This window comes from Homo sapiens, chromosome 11, assembly GCF_000001405.40.
Source record: "Homo sapiens chromosome 11, GRCh38.p14 Primary Assembly".
Taxonomy (NCBI): domain Eukaryota; kingdom Metazoa; phylum Chordata; class Mammalia; order Primates; family Hominidae; genus Homo; species Homo sapiens.
Genome location: NC_000011.10, coordinates 130,771,021 through 130,794,137, shown reverse-complemented (window position 1 = coordinate 130,794,137; position 23,117 = coordinate 130,771,021). Strand labels below are relative to the sequence as shown.

The window sequence follows — 23,117 nt, the reverse complement described above, 5'->3', positions numbered from 1 at the left end:
ATGCTGCCATATTTCCAATATCTGAAAAAAATATTGCTTTATATATTTTGTCCAGTTTATTAGTTGTTCTAGCAAGGAGGGTAAATCCACTCCCTAGTACTACATCTTGGTCATTCTGTATCTGCTTTTGTTCATTTTCATATATCCAACATTATCTGACATACTAGATGTTCAATTGTAACTGGCTCACTGAATCAATTAATTAACTCAATTAATTAGTAAAATGGATAAACTGTCTGTGTTTCCTGAACCTATAACGCTTCGTCTTGCCCATATGTGCTTGCACATGCTACTCCACTTCACAGACATTCTTCTGTATATTCATCAAGATAATCTCATTTGTCCTTCAAGGCTATACCTCATACCTTTTCTATGTAGACTTTATACCCTAAACTGGATTAATATCTTTTATATGTGCTCACATAATATCCTCTTCATAACTTTATCCTAACAGTCTTCATGTTGTTTCTTTTTACTGTATCCCACAAGAGATTATTCTTTTTTTAAGGGAGAGATGGGATCTTGCTGATTTTGTTTTAATTCTAAAAACAATATTTTTGCTTCTAGTGATCCCTGACTTAATAATACAGATTAATCCTTTAGTTGAGACCAGCTAGAAAACTGAAAGCAAAAATAAGTAAAAGCATATGCTTGAAGGTACTGGAGAGCTAAAAGTTGTAGCCTGTAGTCCCAGCTACTCGGGAGGCTGAGGCAGGAGAATCACTTGAAGAATTACCAGTCACTACACAGGGGAGAACAGAGATCAATCGAAGTGACATCTACCTAGTGGGCACTCTTGCCTTATGGGCATTTCCCATTCCTGAGTCTAAATAGTCAAAATATCTATTGACAATCTCATTAGTGCAGGAAGAAAGAAACTGGAGGTTGATAAGGATTGAATAACTGGTACACCACACCCTTAGAAGTATGATTAAACAGAAGTATACAGGCTTCAGAAGAATTAGATCTTAGCTTCAAACCATCTCATCTGAGATACTGGATTGAAGTAGTACCATACTGCTAATGATCCCAGGCAGGTGGCAGAAGCAGAATTAAGTTCCTTGTTAAGGAAAAGAAGCACTGCTTTCTCAGTGATATGTAAATTGAGCAGATAAGAACAGAATAACACAGCCAACCTACTGAATCTAATTGATATTTATAGAATACTCACCCAGCAACAGCAGAATATTGATTTTCAAGTGCCATAAAACACTCACCAGGACAGGCACTATTCTGGATTATAAATTTAAAATAACAAATTGGAAAGAACTGAAATCATACAAAGAATGTTCTCAGATCATAATGGAACTAACTAGAAACCAACAATACAAGGCAACAGGAAAAACCTCCAAATACTTGGAAATGTAAAAATGACTTCCAAGTAATTCATGGGTCAAAAGAGGACATCTAAAAATGATGTCAGAAACATGGCAGAGTAGAAGGTCCCAATTCTATTGCCCCCATAAAAATGATGATTAAACAACTACCTACTCACTAAAATATCTCTAAGAGAGCTCTGGAATATAACAACAAAAAAGCCACAGCAAACCACTGGAGTACAAAAACTGAGCGTGGGCCGGGTGTGGTGGCTCACGCCTGTAATCCCACCACTTTGGGAGGCCAAGGCAGGCAAATCACGAGGTCAGGAGTTTGAGACCATCCTGGCCAACATGGTGAAACCCCGTCTCTACTAAATATACAAAAATTAGCTGGGCGTGGTGGCTGGTGCCTGTAGTCCCAGCTACTCGGGAGGCTGAGGCAGGAGAATCGCTTCAACCTGGGAGGTGGAGGTTGCAGTGAGCTGAGATCATGGCAGCCCGGGTGATAGTGCAAGACCCCATCAAAAAAAAATAAAATCAAATCAAATAAAAAAAAATAAAACTGAGCGTGGCCACATCAAAAAGCATAGAAAACATTTTACTTATATCATCTCATCCCCCAGTTCAACACAGCTCAGCACCAAAAGAGATTCCTTCAGTCATGACCTTCCCCATGAGGGAAAAGAAGAGCAAGAGGAGCCCAGCAGCCTTCCCCAACAAGGACCCCAGAAGCCCTCACCACCACTGTGGACACCCACAGCTTTTTTTTTTTTTTTTGAGACGGAGTCTCGCTCTGCTGCCAGGCTGGAGTGCAGTGAAGCAATCTCGGGTCACTGCAACCTCTGCCTCCCAGGTTCAAGTGATTCTCCTGCCTCAGCCTCCCGAGTAGCTGGGACTACAGGCTCGTGCCACCATGCCTGGCTAATTTTTGTAGTTTTTTTAGTAGAGACAGAGTTTCACTATGTTGGCCAGGCTGGTCTCAAACTCCTGACCCCATGATCTGCCCACCTCAGCCTCCCAAAGTGCTGGGATTACAGGCGTGAGCCACCGTGCCCAGCCCACACCCACAGTTTTTGCCACCAAGGATCTCTGCATTCTTTGCTGACAGTGAAACCAGCTGATGGATTTGCCCAGAGTCCATACCACTACTCCCCCTCCAGGGAATGAGGTGCCACTGCCCCCTACCCCATGTTCCCAGGGCTGAATCCACCCCCTAACCCCAGCACCACCGCACACATGCCCTGACCTTGGAACCAAGAGATATCCCCTCAGCCATGACTTCCCCCTAGAGGGGGAAAGAGAATAGGAGGACCACAGCACCCTTCATGATTGAGTACTCAAGCAGCCCTCACCACCACTAAAATACCTACAGCCTTGGCCTCACTGACACCAATCTTAGCTGATGAAGTTGACCAGAGTCTATGCTATCACACCCCTCAAAGCAGGAGGTGACCCTACAACCACCCCCTGAACCAGAGCTGCCATGCTTCACGCAGCTCGTGCCTTCACACCCATCCACAGAAGAATGTCTTTTCCCACCAAAGCCAGTCTATAAAGTCTAGGACAGGTGACTGCTCCTTCAAATGCACAGACAGATGCAAGACTACAAGGAACACAAAAATCAAGAAAACATAATACCATGAAAGGAATACAATAATTTTCAGTTACAAATTCCAAAGAAATAGAAATCTACAAATTGCCTGACAAAGGATTTAAGATAAATGTTTTCAAAGAAATTCAGCAAGCTAAAAGAGAACACAGATAGACAACTCAACAAAATCAGAAAAAAAAAATGCATGAACAAAATGAAAACTTCACCAAAGAGAAATAATAGAAAAGAACTAAACAGAAATTCTGGAGCTCAGCAATACAATGAATGAAATGAAAAATGTGATAGAGAGCCTCAACAGCAGACTTAAGCAGAAGAACTAATCTGCAAACTCAAAATTAAGAAGGTGCTGTCACTCCCAGTTGCCAAGTCAAGCCCCGTCGAAGGAAAAGCATGCATAGAACCAAGCACAGCCAAAATTTCTTTCCCAGGATCAGCACCTCCTTCTGAGGCTGCAGACAAAGACTGTCAAGGGACCCCATTACTCCCTGTTGAAGTCTCAGAGCTCATGGGTGTAGCTTCTTTGGTGTCAGGGGCTCTGGATGCTAAGCCAGTAGAGAATCCTGAAGATCCTAGCCAACGGATTAATAAAAACTGGAAGAAGGCAATTGTGACATGGCAGGAACAAACTGAGAGAATATTTATATTTTGAAGTAGATGGATCCAAACAAAGAAATGTGAATAAGATCAAGGAGTTTGGCTAGGGGTCTGAGAGACACTGTCAGACCAACCTGCATTTGAAATGGGCCAGTGTCTGAGTCATGACAACATAAAGGTAAAGGTGCCCTGAATGTGCCCCTAGTCCCTGGGTCTGCTCTCGTCACCTCTTGTCACTTCAGGAAGCAACAGCCAGGAGTGAAACATGTAACCTGAGGTGGGAGGAAGGAATTTTTCAGAAGCTCTTCCTGGACAAGGTGAGTCCTCATGAACTGATCCTGACCCCTATGAACCCATACCCTATGAGCTCAACCTCCTAGATGAGGAGCGTTCCACGAATAAGACCCATATGTTAAGATCCTGGAGCCTGAGGGATCAGGTGGCCTGATGGGGCAGACAGTTCTAAGTTGCCTCCTGTTTTGGCCAATCTTCTGGGAAGCATAGGTACCTGGAAGGGTTTATTGAGATCTGAAGAAGAAGGCATCAATGTCCAGGAGAGCCTTACTTTCATCATGGGTAGCCCAAACAGTCAGCCCTCAAAATAACTTCTAAAACAACCAGACTATTCAGATAAGATGACTGATTGCTCTTGCCACCTAACCTCTGAGGTCCTGGTTGAATAGTCCGTCGTTTCCTACCAGGAGGCCCTGGGAGGTCCAAAGACATTTTCCCCCTGGCACTGGCGACCTATACCTGGTTTCTATGGAGGCTCTGGAGACCCTGATGGGCAGTTGATCCACATCTTCTGGGTCCCCCAATCCCTCCAGTGAAAGATGACCCCTTCTGGGATAGCCCAGGTGACCCCATGCAGGGTGGCCTAATATTGAGGGGAGAGTCAAGAACCAATTCCTGGATCATACCATAAAGCCTGTGGTGGCCAAAAAGAAAATGAACCTTTCCCACCTCCTCCACTCTGAGGGGCCAGAGGAAGTCTCTCTGGAGTAGGACCCCTAAATGGATGAAGAAATTCTGGTGGGATCATTGTTAGAGTTGGTGGGCATCATCACCAATAAGCATCTCTTTCATGAAAGTACTGGTGGTGGCATAAGTGGGGGCAGTGAAGATTTTTCATGAAGGTCCTGGACATGGGGGATGCTGTGACCCCAAGCCTCATGATGTCCCTGGTCACTGAGGCCATGACCATCAAGGTCTGCCCTCTCGTGAGCACTCTGGCCATGATGGCCCTGGGCCACTGAGGTCAAGATGGAAGCTACAGCCATGAAGGAGACAGATCAACCTGCTCTGTTTGCTGACATTTGATGATAAAGGGCAATGCCACTATGAGAACAATTACGTCTTTTACCACCTGAGTGTCAAAGTCCCTCTTGCCCTAGGGTCCACCGGCCTGCCCTGCCCTCATATTCATGGAAAACTGCAATCTTGCTACTTCTGCCCTATCATGACTTCTGTGAGGTCCATTTTTCTCTTTCCCCAACTGATAAGGAGCTATCCCCCTCACTTCCCACCTGCATGGGTTCCTGGGGGTTTTCTGACCATTGGTGTGCACTGATGTGCATATTTTCCTTCTATCTGGGGAGGAGAGAGACCGGACACATTCTGCATCCCTGGACTGCTGAAGGGGAGACTCTTTTTGAGGAGATTCATCCTGCACCTCAGTCTCCTGTCCAAAATTACCGTTTATGCATGCGAACCTAAAACTGGTTACCTTGGAAAACACACACACATGGATGGGGGTGCACACACACACACACACACACACACACACACAAACTTTGCTCTGCATAAAACAATCTTAAGAAACTAAAAAGACAAGTTATACACTGGGACAAAATATTTGCAAATCACTTATGCAAGAAAGGCTCGTATCCAGAATATGTAAAAAGCTTCAACAATAAGAAAATCAACAATCTAATTGAAAATGGCAAAGTATTTGAATAGACGTTTTTCCAGAGGATATAAAGCTGGCAAATAAGCATTCAAAAGGAAGTTCAATGTCATTAGCCATTAGGGAAATGCAATTAAAAGCACAATGAGAAATCACTACACAACTATTAGAATTGCTAAGAAAAAAAATGAGAATACCAAGTGCTGACGAGAATGTGCAGCAACAATGCTGATGGGAATGCAAAATGGTTCAGACACTCTGGAAAATAGTTTGGCTATTTCTTATAAAATCAAACATACACTTATCAGGTGACTCAGCAGCAATTCCACTCCTGGGTACCTACCTGAGAGCAGAGAATTGCAGCTGGAAGTAATTTTGTCTCCCAGGGCTATGTCTGGAAATATTTTTCTTTGTCACAAATGGGGAAGCATCTAATGTTGGTGCTAAACATTCCACAATGCACAGGACAAATCCCACACCCCTGCCAACAAATAATCATCCTGCCCAAAATATCAGTGGTGCTAAGGTTGAGAAATACTTCACCACACACAAAAAAATGTGTGAACACAAATACTCATACATAATGTTTATAGCAGCTGTATTCAGAATTGCCAAAAACTGCAATTAACCCTAATGTCCTTCAACATGTAAATGAAAGAGCAAACTGTAGCATGATACCATGAAATATTACCCAGATATAAGAAGGAACAAGCTATATTGATACACACAACAATTCAAATGAACCTCAAAGACATGCTGAGTGAAAGAAGCTGGTCTTCAAAGGATATATACTGTATGATTCCATTTCTATGATATTCTCAATGCTTTTAATAGCCTCTAGTAGAACATTCTGCTCTAACATCACTCACAGTACAAAATCTGGTGAAGGAATTTGCCCCCAGATCTGGGTAATGGGCGGTGATTGGATTTTTTGTTTGTTTGTGATTTTAAAGGTTTTTGTTGTTTTTATTTTCTTCCTTTGTGTTTTTCCACCTCTGTATATAGTGGGCAGCCGGCTCTGTAACATTTTCAAAACAGTCACAGTGCAGGAGATCCAGGGAGAAGGTAAAAGTGTAATTCCTCCAATGCCCTGGCCGCTGGCACCAGTTCTGCCTCAATGATCTTGGGTGCTCATGCTGCATGCTCGCAGCAGCTATGGGTGTCAATGGGAGAAAACCCGGCCTCAGGAGACAGAAGGCTGGGCATTACCTCTCTGTGCCACCTAGAAAGCTGTGCTCATGGGAAAGGAATGTGGCAGCCTGCCCTCTGAGGAAATGTCCGCCCAAACATTTTCATGCAGGTCATTCAATATATTGCATGGGATTTGCTGAGTATGTCTAAGAAAAACATCTACATTTTCCTGGAAGGCATTAAAATTCTCTCATTTGAAATGTAATCATTTGAGAATCTTGAGGGACTCTGATGATGTGTTATAAGACAGGCTGCAGAATCCAGGGCACAAATCGTAGTAAAAGGCCGAGCCTGGACTCTGGGAAAAGTTTTGTGTGAGGAGAGTCTCTGAACTCCAGGATGGCTGAAACATCTCCAGGAGAGCTGCTCCAGATTCCAAACAGACTTGGGCAGTGATGTCAGAAGCAACGGAACCGTGTCTTCAATAATAGGCTCCTGTGAATATTAATTGCAGCTGCCAATAAGTATTGCTGCTAGTTTAAATAAGAGCTTGGTTTTAATTCTTAAAAATTAAATAGACAAAAAAGTACTGAACCTCGTGAGCGACCTGACTTCATATAATCCCAGTTTCTTCTCTTGATCCTGATACATGTATGAGATTGGCTTCAGTCAGCTGAAGGGCTTTGAGCACAGGGAACACACAGCCCCAGGGCTATCAGGGGCCTGGAGTGACCTTTGAAGAGCTTGTCCTGTGTTTCTGGATTCAAAGACTGGGGCCTCCCTTCATGTGCAGAAGTCGAAATACCTGCCGCCTGTGATGGAAAGGCAAGGGGTGAAAAGGCTGAAGGACCCACTTGCATTTCGACCAGTGAGGCAGCATGACTAAGCTTTCCCTTTGGCTGAGGGGTAAGCACAGAAGATAGCAAAGCTTGGGTCAAATGAGGCAACCCTGGCAGAAAGGCTGAATGGGGTGCACTGCTGCCCCAGGTGAGAAAGAGCCAGCACTGGGATGTCTGCTACACAGACATCAGCAACCCCAAATATGGAGGGCAATGGCCAAGTAAGCCCTTGGCACTCACTACCTGGCCTCCAACCAGGAGGTCACAGCAGGAAGGTGGGGGCAGGGGCAAGGAGAGAAAGACAGCCCATCCTATTTCCTGCTGCAAGTTTCTGAGGCTGGGATTGAACTGTTGGGAAGGGGAGAAGCTTTGAAATGGGTGAGAATTGCATTTTGATTTAAGCTAAATAGAAAATAAGATCATCCCCAAACGTACCTAGGAAAGCAAAGGGAGCTGCCAGGACTTCTTCCAGACATGGAGAAAGAAGATTGCATAGAGAAGGTTTGAAGGGCAGTGGGGTAAACAGAAAATTAAGTTACTCCTACTGGAAACCTCATGCAGTGCTTCCCTAGCCCTGGGCCCGAGCAGGATGAGTTGAGGATGTGCTGAGATAGTAATTCCCTCAGCTCTCAACATAACTGTGTGGGGTCTGGAGAAGGCAGAGCCCCGGAAGTGAACATATCTGGATCTCTTTGGCCATAATACAATTATGACTTTCTACATATGCCATGGCCTGAACAATATTGGGAGCCTGGCCTATTGCTCTGTCAGCAAACTGGTTACAACTGGAAGCAAAAATTCATTGGGATTGCCTGAGGCAGAGACATTTCCTATCCATTGCCTCAGCAACCATAGAAGAAGTAAATAAATCACCTCTCTTGTCTAACCAAGTGCTTCCTAGCCGCAAGAAATGTGATTCTTTACTTGCAAATGGTGTCTTTTTCCATCTACTATATGTGGAAAATATAGTATATGCATAATGTGTTTGATTCTGCTAAACTGATGTCAGAATTCTGGAAGATCCTTAAAGCCTCTAGAGGAATGAGTCAACAAAGGGAATTTGAGGAAGGGGGAGTGCTAAAAACAGAAGCAGGAGAGGCTTGAACAGTTATTGGACAAAGGAGGTATCAATCATTTCTGTTAAGCAAATCAGCTCCCGGCAGATTAGCTCACAACAAATTAGGTCACAGGAAACAAGAACCCAATGGGTGGTCCTAATGGAAACTCAAGGTTTGAAAGGCAGTGATGTAAGACAAGCAACCCTAGAGAAAGAAGCGGCTGTCACAAAGGCCAGACCCAAATGCCATGTTAAGAGATGGATGAAGACTAGGAACTGTAGAGAAGGGTAGAACCAGTGTTAACTTCAGCTGATGTACATGCTTCTGCCAAATAAAACTGCACAGCAGTAAAACAGGCAGAGAAGAAAGAATCAACAGCAAAGGTAGAACTGGAACCATGGAAATCTCCAGGAGAGAGGTAAAGGGAGGGGCTAGCCTAAAGCCCAGAGACAGTCAGAAAGTGTCCCACTCACCTGAGGGACCAGGACAGGGGAGGCTTGGGAGTCCAGGTCTGAGACGACGGATGACAGCCCCCAGCTGGAGAAAGGGCTTCGGGAAAGAGTCCAGCGGGAGGGTTAGAATTCCTACCACACTCGGCAGCTGGGCCAGCCCAAGCCTGCCATGGGTTATAAGACTTTGCCATTTAAGCAGGTTGTGTCAAGGACGGCAAGGTAAGGGCAGGGTACTTTTTGAGCGGTGGCAACCAATAATTGGTGAGTATAATCTAAGAAACTTGAACTACTTTTGCTCAGTTATTTCCAGGTTCGTGTGTGTGTGTGTGTGTGTGTGTGTGTGTGTGTGTGTGTGTCTGTGTTATCCTCTTGAAAAATGTTAATGGAAGTCTTGGCTAAACTTACACTTAAGGGTGAAGAGATGTTTCTACACATTGATCCAGATGAGTGGAGAAATCGGAGCGTTCCTAGGGTTTAAGTAAAGGGAGAGAAATACTCTCAGCATACTTGCTGGCCCCTTTCCATGCACACAAGGTTGAAATTGGAGTTTGAGGGAAAGCAACTGATTAAAAGTTTATACACTTATCCCTAACAATTTGAAATCTGGAGATAAGTCAATATCCTTAAAGGTAAGAATGGACCAGGCTGTTTGCAAGAATTTAATGTTCCCATTTTTTTCCTTTTTTTTTTTTTTTTTTTTTTTGGAGTTCAGTAGTTGCAGGAATAATGATAGTTACCATTTACTATGTGCCAGTCTTCTGAGACCCTTTAAATGGATTGTCCCATTAAATCTTCCTTTACCCCTCATTACCCTTGAAGGAGGTGCTATTTAATCCCTGTTTTACAGATGAGGAAACTGAGGTGAAGGAGAATATGTAATTTGCTCATGGTCCACAGCCTACATTCTTCAGTATGTGCAGGGAAGACCTGGTGGGATCTTCACTATGGGGCCAAAGCAGGTTGGTTCAGTTTCCATTTGGAGAGCATAGGTGGAGTCAGGTGGTTTGAGGGTCATTTGTGGTGTATCAGTCAACCAGCAATGAATAGTACGTTGTATTTTCCAGCCTACAGTTTTGTCATCCTATGGACAATTCCTCTCAGAGGAGGAAGAAAAGAGGGGTGATCAGGGAGAGTGCTCGCACGGGGACAGAAGTGGGTGGATTTGGAATTAACGTGAACAGCCGACATTTCACTTCCATACAGAACTACACTGGGATAATTTTTAAAAATTAAAATTAATAAAAATTCTAAAACTTTGCAAGGATAAATTAAAGGAACTTGGATAATTTTGCTACGGGCCAATGAAGCCATAAAATTGGTAGAGTTTGCCAAGATGTGGAATATTTTTTACTTTCTTCCTAAAAGAACTCTAACATAAAAACCATCTGGTGTCCATATTTCCCAGATCAAGGCGGGGTCTAGGTAGGATGAGGCAGTGAATGGAAGAAGCACTGACCCAGAGGCAGGAGAATGGGTCTAGGCCCATCTTGAAGAAATAATTTTATACTTCCAGCCTCGGCTTCCCTTCTGTAAAATAAACCTGTTGGATTACCTCCAAAGTCCTTTAAACAGTAAAATTCTATTACTCTCTAACAAGTTTGCTCAAAGAACACATAAGTATTTTTTAAATAGTAAAAGGTTATAGAAAGTTAATTTTTGAGTTCATTTTCCCCTGAGTCTGGGCCCTGGCTCCGCCTCTCACCAGCTGCCTCTGCTGCTGTCTACAAAAGCCTGAGGCAGGAACCCACCTCTTTCTTAAATGGCAGATGAAATTGCTCCTCTTGAATGAAGACAATCAGTAGCTACAAGGTAATGGTGAGAGACTGTATACCTAGGAAAGGTTCCCTCCCAGCATGGACAGAGAACTAGGAAAAACATTGGGAGAGTTTAATACTTCCTTTAATAAGAAAGGAAGTATTTTGGAGAAATCTTGACTGGAAAGCAAATCTCCCTCTATCCCTGAAGTCTTTATCCAGGAACAGTGTTCAAGAATCTCTGTGTTGCAAATGTGGAATGCAGTTTTGGTATTCTCCTGCCTCGCATGTATGTTTCATCAACAGGCCGGTGACCAGCTCAAAAAGCCTCAAGTGCTGCCCAATTTCAGGACTGCCTGTCATTTCTACAACCTATGACTCTAGTTCATGCAGCTGAGTTCAGCATGGCCGTGGCTAAACACTGAGTCCTGACATTTACAATCCACCGCTGAGCTTCTTGGGCAAAATGAGGCCCTTTCTTTTACTCACACGTCAGTTGCTTTGGGGGACTCCCAAGACTGAATGTTTTCTATCTGCCATTTCTCCGCAGCTTGGCTATTCCCTGCTGTTATCTTTGGCTCTGTTGCTATGGGCGGAATATTTTTTTGTCCTAGCTTAATAACTGCTTAGCTGCCAGAGGTGCTCATTTCTCATTGTATTGGTGGAGGATTAGCGGAGATGTTTGGGAGATATTTCCTGTATTAAGCAGCAGGGGAGAGCTTGCTGGGCCGATGCCTTCTTTTGACATAGCGTCACACTTTTCCTTTTTTCCACTTTCTCTCTTGGAATGTGCTGAGGCCAGTTATTTGCATCCAGAGCGGCAACTCCTCCCTGACACTTCGCAGATCTCCATCCCTTTTCCAGGTGCCCTTGCAGAAACACTTCTTGGGGAGGCTGTAGTGAGTCCCAGGCAATCATCTCGGTTGGTTTTCTTTCATAGTTGGGGCTCAGCAGTGTCCTGTATCACCAACTTACTTTGCAGGCTTAATTGCCTGGAAACCTATTCCATACTTCACATTTTTTTACAATTAACTCACCAGCCTTCTATTAGAGCCACCATCTCACCCACAATTAACTTGAATCGGGTAATCTGTATTGCCTGAGAGTATAAGATACAAATTTGCAGCTCTGTCCAGAACTCTAACTGCTCATAGATTTTTGGCCCTTGTGTCTGCTTGGGACAATCCTCAAAAGACTGAGAAAAGCTGTCTAGAAAAATTATCAAAGGGAGACAGAAATCTATGAATTTTTGGTTCTTGGTCAGATTGCGATAGAGAAGAATAAATGCTAACAATTTCACTGGAAGTCATTACTAAGAGTTTGGTGATGTCACAGGGATGTGACACAGCCTGGCCCGGGTTTGTCTTTTGAGGCCACCTCTTAAAAGCTCTGGGAATTTTGGTGAGTCACTTTGCCTCTCTTCCCCACAATTTTCTTGTCTATAATATGGGGATAGTTCTGACTCATAAAGTTGTTGTGAGGTGTAAATTTTGGAAGATCCTGTAAACTATAGACATAATATTCTTAGAATTAGGTGAGAATGTATGTGAAAACATTTGCAAACTGCAAAGAACTGTACAAGTGTTAATAGCTGTAGGTCCTACAATGAAAACATAATAAAATTTTTTATCACACTTCAAAGTGTTGGGAGAACCATTTTCTCCTTGCAGTGGGTATTTATCCTTCTGTTAAAATACGATCTTAATCGCTTCCTAACTTGGAGGAATCTCTCACTGTTTGAGGCACAGCCCACCTCCTGCCTGCCAGGTGCTGTGTCCCCAACCCAGGGCATGGAACTAGGGCATCATAACCCAGGCTCAGCCAGTCAGAAGCAGATGCTCAAGGCTTTGTTCCAGAAGCTGGCTGTCCAAAGGAAAGAGACTGCAGCAAGTCCATTCTGGCTGTAGGAGGATAGGGTTGACCATAATGTCTGGTTTCTGGACACAGAGTTGGTAGCAGATCTAGAGTGGCATCTGTCATTCACTCTGGCATTCATCATTCACTCTGGCCAGCTTGGTTGCTGTGAGCAGTGGGGGGCCATCGTGCCTTTAGTTCAGTGGGTGATTTGGGGTGTCATTCCTGCTGCCTTACCTCCCAGCCTGGCTTTGTTGACAACGCAGAGATTCCCTAAGCTGCCCCAAATCCCTTTATATAAAACTGTATTATGGAAAATTCCAAACATACAGAAAATTGAAAGGAATAGAATAATGAACTCCTGTGTATCTATCACCCCATTCCACAATTAATATTTTGCCAATTATTTTACCTGTTTTTTGTCCCCCTCCTCACCTGTTTGGTTTCTTGTTTTCATTTCTTTTCTTGTCTTGTTTCTTTGGTTTGGTTTGGTTTCTTATTTTTTGCTTTGTTTTGTTTTTGTTTGTTTGGGGGCATTTTTTTGTTTGTTTTTGCTGAAATACTTTAAAGTAAGCCCAAAATCTCATGTTATTTCACCCATAAATATCTCAGTGTGTGTGTGCCTTTCTAACTGATAAGGACTGTTTTTACCATAACCATCATGCCATTTTCCACCCACCAGGATTAACAGTAATGCTCAGTATATCCCAATATTCATTTCTGTTCACATCAGCAAGAAATGCTTTCTCTTTCTTATAAGACCCTGACTTACATACTTCTCTTATCCATAAAATAGATACTTCTGCCTCTGAATGTTTTCAGAAGAGTAACTTCTGCTCCTCTCTCTCCCAACCTTGTGGAGGAGTGACCTGATGGCTAAATTGAGAATAGAACTGCAATTCATGGTTCTCTCTCTGTAAGTAACTGTCTGCCCACAAAGCAGCTGTGTTCCACCCGGCTTCAGCTTCCATGGGCTGAGCACACTGGGTCAGGCCCGAGGCCCACCTTGCAGGCTGAGTCTGGAGGAAAATCTCTGTCCTTGAGGAGTGTGAGGAAGTGATTCTGAGTAAACAGAGGTATTCTCTAAATTCAAACTGTTCCTTAATACACGCCAACATGAGGTCTTGGAGTAAAGCCACTCATCCATCCTGCAGTCTCTAATGTTATCAGCCACATCGTTGATCTTCTATCTCTCTTTATTTGATTTCAGCACTGGGGAGATTATTTATAATTTAGGGAAGAGGAAGAAAAAGCAATATCATTTATAAGCCACCAACTTGAACATACACAAAATAATTCAACAGTCATTGCTACAAAGCAAACACACTGTTAAGGACCAGTGACACACAAAAGAGTAGAGCAGCATTCCTGCCCTAAAGAGCCATCAGCTACAGCTGTGACAGGCCCAGGAATCGCAGTGAAGTGGAAGCTACCCTACGGGATGCTGGGAGCACAGTGTGGGAGCAGGTCCACAGAGGTAGGGCATCAGTGAGAGCAAGGAGGACGCAGGCATCCCACGCAGAGAAGAGCCATGTCCCAGAGCCAGGAGAAGGCGGCAAGGAGCAGTGAGGGGCTTGGTGCTGTCCAGGGACTAGTAGAGGAGAGAGAGGCCAGCCTGGGTGAGGAAGAAGCCCTTGTGCTCATCCAAGAAACTGGAGATGCATTTTAAAAGCAAAGGAGTGACACTAAGGTATACAAACAGAGACAAGTTTTAAAAGATCTTTTTAGCAGAGATATGGAGGATGAATGTATAGAGACATAAGACAAGGGTCTGGAAGCACACTTGGGAGCCTGTCGACAACAATACAAGCAAGATGCAGGAAAGCTCTAGCAAAATGGGGAGGGCACACATTCAAGAGATGCTCTGGGGGTTGGATTAATGTGCTGCTTTTTCCAAGAAAGAATTTTTATGTAAATAGGCACGGGGTAGAGCAAGATTTTTTTAAAATTAGAAGTAGAAGGCAAAGAGAAAACAAGGGTAGGGACATAAATGGAGCCAGGAGTGAGATTAGCACATTATGTTGTTTGTGTGTTTATGTATGTAGGTATGTGTGTGTGCATGTGTATGCATGCATGTGTGTGTGTCTGTATGTGTATTTGTGTGTGTGTATGCATCTGTGTATGTGTGCATAATGACAAGGAAGGGATCACAGATTTGGCTCTCAGCTCTCTAGCAGTCAACACCAACAGGGAAGAATCCTTCACACACATCACAATGTTTAGAAGATAAAAGTAAACCAGTTGTTCAGAAGAACAACTATTGCTGAATCTAAAGCCAAAACAAATTTATCTTGAGAGACCTCGCAGAGAGGATATGTATAAAGTAATGATATCCTCAGCAACAGTCTTAATGCGAACAAAATTATTTCAAAGGATGTTTCTCCCAATCATCTTTACTATCCAACCAAACGGTAAACTGAAGAGAGTCAGCATGGAGCAATTGTGGCAGAATTGGAAATTAAATACCACACGTTCAGATGCTCTTGATCTCATCTTCTTCACAAGTTCTCTCCCATCTAAGCAGTGGGGATGGGGAAAACATACAAACTGTCAATTAATGACATATTTTTTTAAATAACAGTTTTATTGAGATATAATTTACCTATCATACAACTGACCTATTGAAGAAGGCATACAACTCAATGGTTTTTCATATATTCAGAGTTGTGCAATCATCACCACAATCAATCTGAGAACATTTTTATCCCTGAAACAAGAAACCCATACCCATAGCTGTCACTGCCTCCACCTTCCCCTCCCCCATACCAAGGCAACCAATTGTCTACTTCCTGTCTCTATAAATTGCCTATTCTGGACATTTCATATAAATGGACTCACACAATATGTTTTCTGTATGTGTGACTGGCTTCTTTGACTTCCTGCTTTCAAAGTTTTTCAGGCTGTAGTATGTATCAATTCTTTATTCCTATTATTGCTAAATAATACTCTGTTGTGACAAAGGGCATTTTGGTCTCCTCTGGTTCCAACAGGCTCCCTGGGGTAACTGGGTCTTTCAGGCCAGGGTGCAGCTCTCCAGGTTTCCTCTTCGAGGCTTTGCACCTCCCAAGAAGGTGTTTAGGGATGTGGGAGTGGGGGTGGTATGGGACACCTCGCGGCCTCACAGTGCTTTTGGGTCAGTGCTGGCAGGTCTGATTCCGAGCTCCGGACTCTCTGGTCCCAAGGCACCCAGCTGCCTTTCATGGCAACCGTCTGCACTGCCCATCACCCATTCCGCTCAGAGAGCTCTCCATTTGAACAGCCTGCCTTAACCCCTGTGGCCACGGCTGATCCCTCGCTCCTGGCCCCTCTGAGCTCACTCACATGGTCCATTTTTGCACCCTGCTAACCCTGTGCCCCATGGCGTGCAGGGGGTCCCAGATCACCCCATGTCCCGCAGGAGTGAGGACCGCTCAGGAGCAATGCCGCCGTGCCGTCCCCTGCTAGCTCACAGCCATCCATGCAGCCGACCCCTGGGCTCTGATGAGGCCTGCGCAGCCCCCACCCTCTGTGCTTTGCACGCCTCCCTGGGAGGCACTAGCATCACTGTCCTCTGGGCTTCAGCCCCGTGGGAAGAAGGCAGGACTCGTGGGTCACAGGCCTCCTTTCTATTTCATTCCTCACTGGACCACAGAGTTGGGCCTTCTCTCCTCTCTTGGGGTTTGAGGACTTCCATTAGGATATGGATCCTGAAATCTCTCTAGACTTGACTTACAGTAAATTAAATATGCTTCTATAGACCAAACTTTTTCCATTCATTCGTTGGCAGAGATTTAGGTTGTCTCCATGTCTTGACTATTGCAAATAAGGCAACGAACATGGGACTGACGCTATCTCTCAAGATCCTCATTTTCTCTGCATGTACACCCAGTGGTGGGCTCTTACTCAGCGTTAAAAAGAAGGAGATCCTGCCATTGGCAACAACATGGAAGAACCTGGAGGACATTGTGCTAAGTGAAACAAGCCAGGCACAGAAAGACAAGCCCCACATGACTTCATGTACATGTGAAATCTTAAAAAGCCAAACTTATAGAAACAGAGAATAGAACGGTGGTTGCCAGGGCTGGAAGGAGGGGAAATGGGGAGATGTTGGTCAAGGAGTACAAAGTTTCAGTTACTGAAGATGAAGAAGTTCTGGAGACTCAGTGCACAGCATGGTGACTATAGTTAATAATACTGTATTATATACTTGGGATTTACCAAGAGGGTACATCTTACCTGCTCTCATCATAACAAACAAAAAAGAAAAGAAAAAAGACAAAAATGGTAACTGTGAGCTAAGGAATGTGTTAGTTTGATTGTTGTGATCATTTCAGTGTGTGTGTGTGTGTGTGTGCGTGTGTATAGAAATGAAGTTGTATACCTTAAAGATACACAATTTTATTTGTCAATTATACCTCAATAAAGCTAAAAATTTCAATATTTAGCCCCAGCAACCCTGGCTTTTGATATGTTATTGGTATTTTAACAAATTTAAGGAAAAATTTCTTTGGAGACTAATCTTTTTAGGAACTCAACAATCCTATTTTGGTAGTTAAATTGTGAATATTGACCCCTTTTTCTCCATTTTTCTGTTATAATAATAGAACTTCCTTCCCATCACCAGTTTGGATATAGATGCTGTAGCTGGCTAAACTGGGAGAAATTATGTACATGGAAATATGAAAAAGAAAAGCAAATATTATAATTTCTATCACAAACTTCCTAGAGGTAGGAAAGGGGCAAATCTGAAAAATGGAATCCTGAGGCTGTTTGTTCAGATGCACGAGGGTGAAAGATGAGTGAAAAATGACTGACAGTTTCTGATTTAGGTGAGTAGGTGGCTACCACAAACCAGGGTAGGAATAGAAGAGGGTTGGAGAAAAATACTGGTCTACACTGGGGCATGTAAGTATGAAGGTGCTTATGGTACATCCAGGTGGGGTGGAGGGCTTGGGCAGGTCTGGAGGCATAAACTCTTTTAAAGAAGATGGGCTGGAGATGAACATTTAGGGCCCCGTACCATTCAGGTGGTAAAGGAAAACTGGGAGTGGGGAATTAGAGATTTCCCTGGGGATTGGCTGCAGAAATGCCAAGGCTTTGGAGCTGCTTGGAGCCTACACAAAAGCCTCCTAAATGGCTTTGCTCTGGCATTAAGAAGGTGGTTTCATAGTTTGCAAATTAATCCCAGCCTACCTTGTACCCTCAACACACAGAGACATGGATATTCAACATGACCCCATTGCTTCTGAACTGCACCAATCCCTAAATTCAAGGTCCTGCACAGCATGATCTTAATGTGTTTTTGTGATCATATCTCTTCATTCTTCCCAATGCATACTCTGTGCTCCATCAAAGAATAGGGCTCTCTCATCTGGAAAACCCCATGTTCATGCCTTTGCTGTTGATATTTCTTCCTTCTGGAATGCATTCCACCCCAGGCTTTTCTCATTTAGAGACCCTGTTCAGATGCTACTTCTATGAATATTTCCCTGACCTTTAAACTTTTGCCAACATTTGTAAAGAACAAAATATGTGCAAAGCACTAGGCTAAGCACTGAGAAGGACACTGATGGGAATGAGTCTCAGTTTCTACCCTGTAATAGACCAAAACTCTATTATGAAGGAATCAATGCTTCTCAAAAGGTGGCTCACCCACTCCCTACATAAAAGGGTTCAGATTCCAAGGCCACACCCCAAACCCACTGCATGAGAATCTCCGTTTTGGAACTCAGAAATGTGCATTTTTGACAAGTTTCTCAGTGACCTTTATGCCACGGGGAGAATATTTTCCTTCCTTCCTGATATGGTAGTTGTTAAGAGACAGTTAAGACTAAGTGAGATACTGCTTTGAAAGCAGCAGGGCACCATTTCAAAGGCCTGTGGTGGGCCTCTCTTTACCAAAGTGTGTCATTCATTGCTGTCCTGTTCAAAAATCCTATACTTTGTGTCCTTGACTTTAAGCTCATTCCTGTCCCACCCTAGAAGAGGCACACCTGATTTTTAGGCGATTCCCACTGACTGTGCGATACAGAGGCGCATGCAAGCATCAGGTATTACTCATATCGTTACTGTAAACTCCACCCAGAGTCTGGAATCTGGTGTTACTCCAGTTCCTTACATCACCACCAACTGTGATGAGGAGCCAGAAAAAGTAGGAAGCATCTGGAGGTCAAAATCAGAGCTGGCCCTGGGCAAGGTATTGAAGGGAGTGAGTTCTGTCTGTGGTGTCTCCTGCCTCTCCTTTTCCTGCTTTTCTCTATTCCTCATCCCCACCTGGGGGGCCTTCTTTAGCCAAGACACCTTCCCTGGTCAGCAAAAAAGAACTGATGGATGTTGAGGACTTAATAGTTCGCCTTCTCAGATTTTTGTTAAAAAGAGATAGAAGGTGAGGCAGTGCTAACTCAAGGAGTGAATAACCAGTGGTGGAACCGTGGACCACATGACAAGCAAGCAAGTGATACTTTTCAGTGGAGGAATTTTTTATGTCCCCTGCCATGTTCCACACAGGTGGCTCCCTATGACTGCAGATTTTCCTAGGGCCAACCATGGTGACTAGGAGCATTGACTCATCACTCTGGGTACCCAGAGGACATCATCCAATGGCCAAACTACCAGAACTCATTAGAAGCCAGAAAAGAGAAAGACCCTAGTATAGTTACCATGAGTGGATCCCAGGCTGTGGCTAATTTGGGCTTGGGAAACTTTCTGAGCTGGCCTTGCTCCAAGGCCACCGAGCACTGCAGTGAATCCTCCAGGACTTGGATGGCATCCAGAATCCTCTCCAACATGGGCCAATCGCCTGTTTCTAGGCACAGCCACCTCCACCCATATCCTGATGGGACACAGTGGAGGAAAGGTCATGTGGAAAAGGGAGGTAGGTTTACACAACAGAAAGAATCCTGAGCTGACGTTCAGGGAAACCTGGGGTCCAGACCCACGGCTACTATTAATAAATGGGGGCACCATAGGTGGTGGCTTACTCAGCCAGAGGCTCCATTTCCTTAGATTAGATGCCTTGAATTTAAGAGTTATTCCAGTTCTGAGGATTAATTATCCTATGTACCAAAATAAAAGACAGAACTTTACAGATTCACGGTGATGAGGAGATATGGATTGTTATGGGACCGGAAAGTCAGGATTTATGAGGATTTATGCAAGATTTTGTGTTTTTTCTGCTCAAAGTGTACTCCCTGGAACTGGTAGCATTGGCTTTCTCAGAACTGGTGCAGATTCCCAGACCCCACCTACTGAATCAAGAGTCCACGTTTCAACAAGATGTCCAAGTGATTCAATTGCACATTACAGTTTGAAAAGGCCCCGTTTAATGTGTATAGCACCCGAGTATCACAGTGCCTTAAAGCTTGTGTTTGCTCCTCATGACCCAAGAATAAGCCCAAACTCCAAAATAAAGTTTGAAGGCCTCTGCACTTCGGTCTCTGCCTCCCTCTCCATCTTTGTCTCCTAGGAGTTCTCCCTTTGATCTCTCTACTGCAGCCATGAGGGCTTCTTTTGCTGCATTGAGCAGGCCACATAAACATCAGTGTGAAATTTCCTTGGCCTGGAATATTCTCCACAAAATCATCCCCTTTTGTTGACTCCTCTGTTATTCCTGCAACAAATATTTAGGGAGAATTTCCTGTGCCAGGCACTATTCTGGGAATGCATCTTGGAGCTGACCCCCTAAGTCTTTCAAGTTTCAACTTAAACTTATCACTCCATGGGAGGTTTTCCTGACCCCAGAGAAGTTTAAATCCCTGTGCTGTATACCCAAAGCCAGCTGCACACCTCCTTTTGCAACACATTGTATTTTACTGTAGTTCTGGTTTAACATCTTTTCTTCACGTTGCACTGAAACCCCATGAGGACAGCCCTGTATCCTGCAATACCCAACTTACCAGCTGGCACAAAGAAGTGCTTTGTGCATATTTATTGATAGGTGAAAGGGTTTCCAAGGCAGGAGGGCCATGGCCAAGATACGAAGAAGGAATCATTGAAGTGACAATGGAATTCTCTGGCTCTCATCACAGACACAAGAGAATAGCCTTTACACATGACTCTTATTTATTTGATCTAAACTTCCAAAGAGATTATCTATGCTCACATTGTGTGGCCTTTGGATAAAGAAAGTCTGAATTGGCATTCACAGAGGAATTCCTCTCTGCTCAGATCTGACTGTGATCTAGGCCTCCCTCTCCCTTCCAATGAGAAAACTTCTGAGACTGTGGGGTGGAGTCGTGAGGGGCGTCCAGCTGGGGTCAGGATCACATGCTCCTGACCTTGGGTCCTGGAGGGAGGTACTGCCGCTTGCTTCTGAAGGCCAGGTGGTGGAAGCCAGCCTCAGATGTGTGTGACACAAGCTAGTCCCTGCAGAAGAGCAGAAGGCTAGGGCAGGAGCAAATGTGCAAAGATAGAAGTTCAGGGATTTGGAAAATCAGATTTTACTTAGGGACAGTGGAACATTAAGGGTTATTTTTAAATTGATGAATGGGGACAGTCAATAAATGAGAGGATGCTCCCTTTCTCTCTCCCTTTGCAGGTGGCTACAGGGCAAGGAGCCATGGAAACTGAAGGAAACTTGGACTGGACATCAGAGACCATAGGAGCTGACCTGTAGAGCCCCTTGACTTTACCGGTTAGGTTCAAAAGCTAACCACCAAATACTAGGGCTAGTGCTTCTTTCAGTGTGCTACCCTCCTCTCTTCTTTCTTCATCAGTCCTGAGGCAAGCAGGCCCACGCTGCTAATCCCAAGTTGACCCAGGAGTACACTAAGGCTTGGACAGTTTAGTTGATCTACCCAAGAACACAGGAACACTCCTGACTTCCAGCCCAGTGTGGTTTCCATTAGACATTCTTGCCATGGCATGAAAACCACAATGAGGTCAGGCAGATAGCTCTGCAACCTGGAACTCTGAGTGAAATCGGTTATGACTGCAGCTGACATACACGGCCCCATACAGCCCAGCAAGGAAGGGGGCAAAGGTCACACCAAGTCAGGACAGAGGCTGTGCCTCTGCTGTGTTCAGGAAACCTTGAGACAAATTTCTTCTCCAATAACAACTCCCTGATGTAAACTAACCAAAAGAAAGCAAACCCAAGTTTCTGCATATTTTAATTGTTTTGTATGATTTTTGCTGGTCTTAGAGTGCTTGTGAGTCAGAAGCAATTTCAGGAAATGCTGCCCATGTCACCAGCTGGAATCCAGGCTCCTGTTCTGCAAGAGCTTTCAGATGCAGGCACATGTTTGAGCATGCGTGCACACACACACACACACACACACACACACACACAAGCTCTCACACATGCCTACACTCACATTCACAAACTGGCACATTCACATACACTCACAGGCATACACACACACGTAAACTCATATACACATACATTCCCACATGCAGTGGCACACAAATTCACATACATACACATACTCACATACTTATACAAACACACATGCTCATATATACTCTCACATAATACACACAAACCCACATACACACACCCAATCATACTCCCTCATATACACACATACATTCGCATACATACTCATGCACTCACACATACCCACACACGTGCACATGCACACACGTGCAAACACACAGAGCCAAGACTTAGCTGTGGCCAAGTCTTCCTGACACTAAATATAAGCATGATATGCTCGGTGCAAAAGGCACTTGTTGCATGAGAATTGAAACTGGATCAAGTCCACTGATTATTTAGCTATTTCCAAATATCTGCATGTTTTGCTTTGTGGACATCTGAATAGTTGGCGGGGGCAAGCTTTTCTCTGTACCTCCTTCCCTCTGGGGATGTGTGAATCAGTTGTTCCTAACCATCCCTTCCCACCAAGCCATAGCAGTGGGAAGTGAGGTCAGTTAACTGTCTCCGTTGCAAAAGGTACACATAAAATTGCCGATTTGAAGGACGGGGGACTGAAGGGACTTTGCAAAGTGACAGCTGCAGCCCCCTGTCTCAGCAGGGGCCATCCTTCCGGAGGAAGAGAAGCCGACAGCCCTCCCTACTCCCTCCCCACTTTCTCATAAGTCCTCAACAAAGGTCTGGAAGCCTTCACACCTTCTAGTCTTTCCACAGGGGTACATCCCAGGCCACATCACACTTCCACAGGGACTTTGGATCTCTGCCGAATCCAGGAGCCTAGGATACAGTGATGGCTCTCTGTCTATGGGAACAAAATTCTTTCTGTAAAATGTGATACAACATAATAAACAAAGGGTATACAAAAGCAATATTTCCCCTTATCTAGTTGTGTTTGTCCAGTGTTCTCTATTTTGTTGTGTCTATTTCCGTTTAGCGTCTATCTGCCTGAGTTTCGTCTCCCTCAGATTGTAAACACATAGAAGAGGAAAACTTTCTCCAGGCAATGGTGAGTATAAGGTTCCCAGAAATTAAGCCCTCAATTAGGGCTTTGGGTGACGTCGGTAATGATGGAAGGTTCTAAATAAAACATTGTAACAATGAAGCCTTAAGTTCTCTAAAGTTGATTTTGCTTCAGAGGAGGAAGTCATTGATTTGCTTGCCTCTCAATGCTGTTCAAACGTCAGTAACAAGGCAGCATGTTAGTGCCACCCCTATTCCCTGTGGACGGCTCGAGAGTTTGTTTCTT

General features: G+C 44.2%; 1 long non-coding RNA gene and 1 pseudogene across 3 annotated transcripts, besides 1 other annotated feature; both read left to right on the top strand.

The window, feature by feature from the left end:
• PPP1R10P1 (protein phosphatase 1 regulatory subunit 10 pseudogene 1) lies at nt 3,263-4,909 on the top strand (annotated as a pseudogene).
• On the top strand, nt 8,666-22,740 carry LOC105369576 (uncharacterized). Of its 3 annotated transcripts, none has more exons than XR_948197.4 (4): nt 8,666-8,877; nt 9,759-9,870; nt 13,316-13,435; nt 21,035-22,740. It is a non-coding gene; the product is annotated as an uncharacterized LOC105369576 (long non-coding RNA). The 3 variants fall into 3 exon arrangements; XR_001748458.2 differs by having other exon boundaries at nt 13,316-17,403; XR_007062955.1 differs by having other exon boundaries at nt 9,759-17,403.
• Nucleotides 11,234-12,433: an enhancer, noted in NCBI's record as "MED14-independent group 3 enhancer chr11:130651600-130652799 (GRCh37/hg19 assembly coordinates)". NCBI's record gives its function as "activates an origin of replication core promoter dependent on BRD2, BRD4, P300/CBP and CDK7 cofactors, and independent of MED14, by STARR-seq in HCT116 cells {active_cell/tissue: HCT116}" and the evidence as "EXISTENCE:reporter gene assay evidence [ECO:0000049][PMID:35650434]".
• Nucleotides 22,741-23,117: the final 377 nt, after the last annotated feature.